This window comes from Homo sapiens, chromosome 11 (genome assembly GCF_000001405.40).
Source record: "Homo sapiens chromosome 11, GRCh38.p14 Primary Assembly".
Taxonomy (NCBI): domain Eukaryota; kingdom Metazoa; phylum Chordata; class Mammalia; order Primates; family Hominidae; genus Homo; species Homo sapiens.
In genome coordinates this window covers 110,966,499-110,973,750 of record NC_000011.10, presented here as the reverse complement: position 1 = coordinate 110,973,750, position 7,252 = coordinate 110,966,499, and the positions used below count along the sequence as shown (strand labels likewise).

Here is a 7,252-nt window from a genome sequence, read left to right as displayed (position 1 = left end):
GCCTTTGTGACCTTTGGCAGATCTCTTCTCTGCTCTTCTTAGCAGCAGCAGGAAGGGGCTAAAATAAATCATTTCCAAATGGATCCTTCCAGCTCTTGTATTGTGTGTGCCCTCTGATTCAGATAGTAGTGGATTAGCAGAACAAAGCAGCACCTTTTTGATGGAGCCATATTAAAGTAGCGTATCAAATTATCAAAACACTGCTATTTATTACTTAGTGATGTCTACAAAAGAAATCCCTGACATATCCTCTATGCTATGAGTAAGCCCTGCCCTGTCTCTCATCCTGTGAGCCCCATCATTTTGGGGCCTTGGCACCAAAATGTCAATATCAAAATAGTATGAGCCCTTTGGAAAATGCCAAGGCTTATAGTTCTATAGAACTGGGTTTGGATGGCAGGCTCAGTTGTTTACTTATCACTTGGCCATGTGACCTTGGGAATAAAGGATTTCAGCCTCTATTTCCTTATCTGTAAAACTAAATTATAATATGAACTCTGAAGATGTTGTTAGATTTAAAAATGAAATGTATAAAGCGCCAATGTGTGCCTCATCTTATAAGGAAAGGAAGTAAAGCTTAAAGCAGTCTAATACTCTCAAAATAATTTCCTAAAATAGAAAATAAGCTGTGTTTCACTAAAAAGATTTTACAACATGTTTTACATGTTGGGAGAATCTTGAGTTTCAGATGGGCTAATGGCCCAAATGGACTGGGAAGAGATCAAGGGCTCAGGTGGGAAGGAAAAGCGGAGATTAGATATTCAGACAGTCTGGACATGTACTGTATCACTTACCAGATATACAAAGAGCAGGGAATGTTTATGAAAAACAAGCCCCCATGTCTCTCATACTCCTATCCCTAGACCAGAGCCCTCGGTTCTGAGTCAGAGCTGAATATCAGCATTTAGCAGTGCTATTGCTCAACAGAGACAGGCACTACCGTGATGCAGCAAAATTACTCTCTGAGCTCTGTGGCATCTTGGCCTTGTGTGGCTGAGAGAAGTCTCAGGAAGTCTTATTTGTTGTTCTAAGTAGTAATCAAATTGGCTAAAAGGCCCAAAGGTGAAGTATATGTTGTTCCAACAGGAAGTTTTGGGACACTTGGTAAACTTTTTGAGGAATAAGATAATCTTGCAAAATTGGGCTGTCTGGTTACTGATTCCCAAGGCAGAACAAAGAAAGAGAGTGCTGGGATATGTATGTATGTTGTAGACAGGGTGGATGAAAACTGGCTGGATGATGATGATGGTAATGGTGATAATGATGGTGATGGTGATGATGGTGATAATGATAATTTTTGCAGAATCACAAGGGGAAAGAATGCATTTAAGTTCTAGAAAATTGTCTCAGTTTCCTTGCTACTATTTGATATAGTTCTTTACTCTCAGGAGAAAGTTTTGCCTAGGCAATTATCTCACTTTGAGTTTTCGAAGTGAAAATTGAATTGGGAAAAGTGCCATGGCTCACAGAGGATGGATCAGCCAACTCTGCTGTGACAGTTATTTAAAAATCTTCATAGAAGAGGGAATACTTCAACTGGTTCCTTAAAAATGAAGGTAATTTAGGAAGTAAAGAGGGGAGAGATTTTATTTTGTGCAAAGCTTGTAAAAAAAGGCATTGAATCATAAATTGAAATGGAATAGAGTCATAGGCCTAATCTGAACTGGAATTTCACAAGAAGACAATGAAGGCAGGAAATTAAGATATGAGATAGAGTGAAAGTAGACAGGTAAGTCTAGAAAGGCACTTAGATGCCAGCTGTGATGCCCAGCTGGAGAGTTTGGATTTTTATCTGTAAAATCTAGGATGGCCAAGAAGAAGTGTGTTTGCATTTTGTTTGTTTTACTTTATTAACCTGGGATAGGACCTAGTGACTTTGTTTTTAAAATATAACTTTGATGGAAGAAAGATGTTTAATCAATTGCACTGGGGACTAGTGGTCCGAAGACCATTTTGTAAGCTATTGCATCCCTTAAAGTTAACAGCCTGGTCCTAAAAGAAGAGAGAAGCAACGGAGTCAGAGAAAAGGGGCTAGAGTTCAGTCTTATAGTGTACACTAGATGACAGATCAGACCTAAGGATTTGGAATAAAATAGAGGGAGAATCTGTTGATGGCACCCAAGCTTCTCCTTTTGAAGGCAGAATACATGGTGACACCATGAACAGATGCAAAAACTAACCTCATTTTTTTCTGCATAAGTATTCTATTTACATGCTTTTGCTTACACAAGCAGAAGAGACTTATATACCTATTTTTTTTAAATGTGGGCCAAGATGTTTTGCTTCAAGAGGATAAGATAAGATCTGGTTCCAGCCTGCTCATCACATGTGCCACAGGCCACTAGCTGCTTATCAAAATTCATGGCCTCCTCCACTTCCTGGGCACACAACTAGACTGCATGTTCTGACTTCTGTTACAGTAAGGAGTGGCCCTGTGGTTGAGTTCCAGCCACCGGAATGTGAGCAGAAGTGATGTGCACTGATTGGAAGCTTGACCATAAACTCCATGAGGCATTCCTCCATGCTTTGCTTTCTCCTCTGGCTTGTTGGAATGGAGATAATCTCTGGTACATTAATCAAAGCCTCAAAGTAAAGATGACAGAGCCTCCAATAGTCGGGGTCTCTGCGTGACTATGCAGAGGAGGCTTTCAGCTGCCACGTATTGTTACGCAAGTGGAAAATAAGCATCAATTTGAGTCTGTTTATTACAGAGATTATCCTAACTATACATCAATTTCTCCCATTTATTTGTTAATATAATGAACATCTATTGAGCACTAATTATGCTCCTGGCACTACATTAGATGCTGAGAATGTAGTGTGGAGCAAAACATATAAGCTTCTTGCCCTCATAGAGCTTATAGCCTAAGGGATAGCATAAATTTTATGTTTCTGCTCAGTGTGCCTCAGTGTACTATTTTATTACGTTAAGGTACTATTTCTGTGCTTAAAAATTTCCCTTACTTCATACAATATTGGTTTTTAAAAACATGGCAATTATTACCACCAGTCTGAGATAATTCTTATAATCACTGAGAGCTAGCAAGGTGCAGAGAGCTGATGTGTGAGCTTTTTCCACGTTACCTTAGAATTTTATATTTTATTAGTGTAATTGCATAGCTTATAGTTGTCTACAAATATAATTTATGTCATCAAGAACACCAGCATGATACTTGAGCTTATTTTTCATGAATAGAAAAAGTACTATTTTGATGATAATAATAATGAGAATTAATAGTCACTTGTATGAACTTTTGCTTATAAGAAAATATCTTAAAACTAAATATGTTTCTACATTAGTAGATGAGTATATCAGAGCAGAACAAGTTTGTGGAAGGGGGATGTGGAATGGGAAAGTTTCATATTATGAGTTCTGTTTTGGACAGGTTACGTTTGTGGTACCCACAAGATAAATATTAAGGAGGATCCATGCCTAGTCTCCAGCTGAGTTTTTTAGTTTGGGATCTATTCGTAGGCTGAGAACAAAAAAAGAATTAGTAGTGAGGAACAGATTGAAAACATAAAAAGAAGGGACTGCGGAAATGGGATGATTTTGAAAGGGATGTGAGTGTTAAGCAATAGCCCTTCAGGGAAGGAATTAACTGGGGGGGGGCGGGTGGTGAGGGGGTGGGAAGAGAGATGACCTTTTCTTTGAGACAGGACAGAAGAGGGAAGAATTGTGTTAGTGCTAATGAATCTAAAAATGGAGGCAGTAAAGCCAAGAGTTTTCTCATTGTGAGGCAGAAAATATAGTACCTCAAAGTTAAGACTCTGGAGTCAGACAGACACAGGCTCAAATCATGTCAATAGCTGTGTGACTTTTAGCAAGTCTCATTTTCAACATCTGCAAAGTGGTATCAATAATAATATTTATCTAATATCCTGTTGTGAGTATTAAAAGACAGAATGCAAAGTTCCTGATAAGATAGTGTTCAACATTAGCTATTAATAGTACAATATTAGCAAATGGCTAGTAGAAGCTAACTACCAAGCATTTGGAGTTTTACCAGTCCATGCTGTTTGAATTTCTTCAGAAACAGCAGCATTGGTAGTTTCTTGGTTGGTGCCATCAGAAGACAAGAGAATGAAGGAATTGGCAGGTCCCAGTGATAATGTGGTTGAAGAAATCGTTTGCTTTGGGGATGGTGTTAAGTCAGTCCATGCAGGGGTGATGGATTGAAAGAATAAACTGACATCTCAATGAAGATAAAACACTGGTTAAGTGGAGACAGTAAGGGAAGGAAAGAGGTAGGAGACTTAGAGGTTGTAGATGGAGCACTGATGAACAAATGTACCAAGACAGAGACGTCTCAGAGCACCTGATGCAATGTTTTCTGAAACACAGCAATCTGGAGATTGGGGCAGGGGGCTGGCTGGCTGGGATATACTTAGGGAACTTCACTATATATGACATTTCCACAGTGGAAGCATGGGATTTGTGAAACAGCCAAATGCAAGGCAGCAGATCTGAAAGAAAAGCAAGTGATGCAGAAGCTCATGAGATGGTGAACAGCCACTACCCCACAAAATAATCCCCTTTTTGTGTCAGCCTCAAACCTACAGCAAATGTACCAAAATTATAGTAAGCTTGGCAGGTTTGATTTCTTGTAAGGGCCAAAGAAGGGATAAAATGTAAATGGTCCAAATCAGAGACTCTCTACCTGGGTACAATTAAGAACATCCCAGGGAGCTTTTACAAAAATGTCTATATGTGGACCCCATCATTGACCAATGAAGTCACAATCTATGGGGATCAAGATCCTTTCTCAGTGTTTTTGAGAAGTTCCTCAGGGATTCTGTTTTGTGGCAAAGGTTACAAACTGTCACTGTAAGGGACTGCAGGGACCCAGGGAACTGAGAATAAGTAAGGTGGAAACCCTCAGAGACCACAGGGAGGGAGGAGCACTCAGACGTGAAGTAAAATTGGAGGTCTCACCAGATTTACAAATATTTCTGAAAGCAGGAAAGCACATGTCCTCTGAGCTATATAAATTTAAATTTTTAGAGGGCTGCAGGGGTAGAGTGGAGGTAAAGGCCATTGGCATAGAGATCCCAGGACATGGGATGGTACCTAAGGAGACATCAGAGGCCAAGTAGAAGTTTTCTTTCTCACCAGGAAGAAAAATCCTGTGGGTTCCTTGGTTCCTCTTGCCCCTTTCTTCAACACTTGGTGAGTTCATAGCTGTATTATGAGTGCTCTACTCTTGCATAACAAATGACCACAAATTTAACAGCTTAAAACAACACTCATCTATGATCTAACAGTTCCTGTGGGGCAGGAGTCCATCTTTATACAGTGTCATTGGGCCCCTCTACTCAGGGTCTGAGAAGGCTGCAGTCGAGGTCTCCATCTCCTGAGCCGACTAGTCGTTGGCAGAATTCAGTTCCTGATTAGGTCAGGCCCATCCAGGATAACTTCTCTTTATTAATTTAGGGACTTTAGTCACATCTGTAAACTACCTTCATCTTTGCCACATAACACAGCCTAACATGGGAAGAAGGTGTGGTGCCCCATCATTTTCACAGGTCCTGCTCACTCTCAAGTGGAGGTGATTATACAGGTGTGTACAACAGGAAGTGAGAATCTTGGAGATCATCTAAGAATTTTGCCTACCACAATAGCCATGTATATATTCATTCATTTAACAAGTGTTTATTGAGTACCTACTATCTACAAGGCATTATGATGGTATATTTGAAGGCAGTAAATGCTTTGAAAAAACAGAGCAGAGTAGGCAGGATTTGGGTGGTAGGGGGTGACATAGGAAGTTGCTGTTTTAAATGGGGTGTCAAGTGTTGGCTTCATGGAGAAGGTAACATGTAGTAAAGACTCTGTAAATAACCACAGCTTTCCCTTTTCCTATATCCAGAATTCTTTTGATGTTTTTCTCAGTTTATTTTCCCTTAATCTTTAATCTTTGTTTTTGTAGAAATAATGAAGCAAAGGAAATTCTACATTGGATCTATTACATGTAAATTAAGACTCTGTAAATCGAAGTGATCCAGAAGGCAAAATCTTATAAGCAAAAGAAAACCAGAGAAACTTCTGATGTTTCAAAGTAGCCAAAAATGCAGAAAGGCCAGGTGTAGTAGCTCACACCTATAATCCTAGCACTTTGAGAAGCTGAAGTGGGAGGATTTCTTGATCCCAGGAGATTGAGACCGGCCAGGCAACATCTCTACAAAAAATAGAAAATTAGCCGGGTATGGTGGTACACACCTGTAGTCCCAGCTACTAAGGAGGCTGAGGTAGGAGGACTGCTTGAGCCCAGGAGGTTGAGGCTTCAGTAGCTGTGATCACGCCAGTGCACTCCAGCCTGGGTGATAGAGTAAGACCCTGTCTCAAACATAAACAAAAACAAAAAACAACCACTACCAAAATTCAGAAGTCTGCTAAACGAAAAAGAATACAACACTCTTATATTGTGATCCTATAAATAAATCAGTATGGTACTGGGCCTGTCCAAAGCACATGACTTATTGATTGATTCATTTATTCACTCATTCATTTCATATGACAGACTCTGAACTTATATGTTAGGCTTTGCACTAAGCATGGAGATTTCGAAGACAAATAACATATGGTCTCTGATTTTGAAGAATTTATACTTGATTGGGACAGACGGACTCATGTATAGATAATTTCCATTATGGCATCCTATCAGGGACATCAACAGCCAGTTCTTATGGTGAATGAAAATAACCTCCCTAGGGTATCTTAGTGAAGACATTAAATCAGACTCTTTACGAATGTCTAGAAAAGCCTTCTGAAATGTGGCCTAAGATAATTTTGATGGATGTGTAGTATTCTACAGACCCAGGTTGGTGCTGATGAAATAATCATCTGTTTGGCCACAAATGGGTCCCTTGAGCTGAGCCAGGGAGAGTAAATGGTAAGGCAGTGTTGAGACTTGATCAGAGGACACAGGAGAGAAAAGCAACCAGAGCATTAAATATTGATAGGGTACGGATTTACCTAGCTGTGAAAAACACAGTCGTACAATAGATTCTATGGGTGGAAAGCTAGGAAAACAGCAGCCTCATATACTGGCTGGGGGGTCATCTGCTAAAGGTACTACATCATAATGGTACTGTTGCAGCTCTTCTCTGCCCTTGATCTTTATGCACCAATCCCTGAAGATTGACATGGCTGACGTGGCTGCGTAGATTCAGGGATTATGCTGCTCAAGTGACCTCTGTGTCCATTAGCTATTGCTGGGGAACAAACCATCCTAAACTTTAGCATCTTTAA

The 7,252-nt window shown here is 40.0% G+C and overlaps 1 annotated feature.

The window, feature by feature from the left end:
• Positions 2,133-2,302: an enhancer, noted in NCBI's record as "experimental_18726 CRE fragment used in MPRA reporter constructs". NCBI's record gives its function as "activates a minimal promoter by MPRAs in K562 erythroleukemia cells, with activity observed for the non-introgressed 11:110842258 variant allele {active_cell/tissue: K562}" and the evidence as "EXISTENCE:reporter gene assay evidence [ECO:0000049][PMID:34662402]".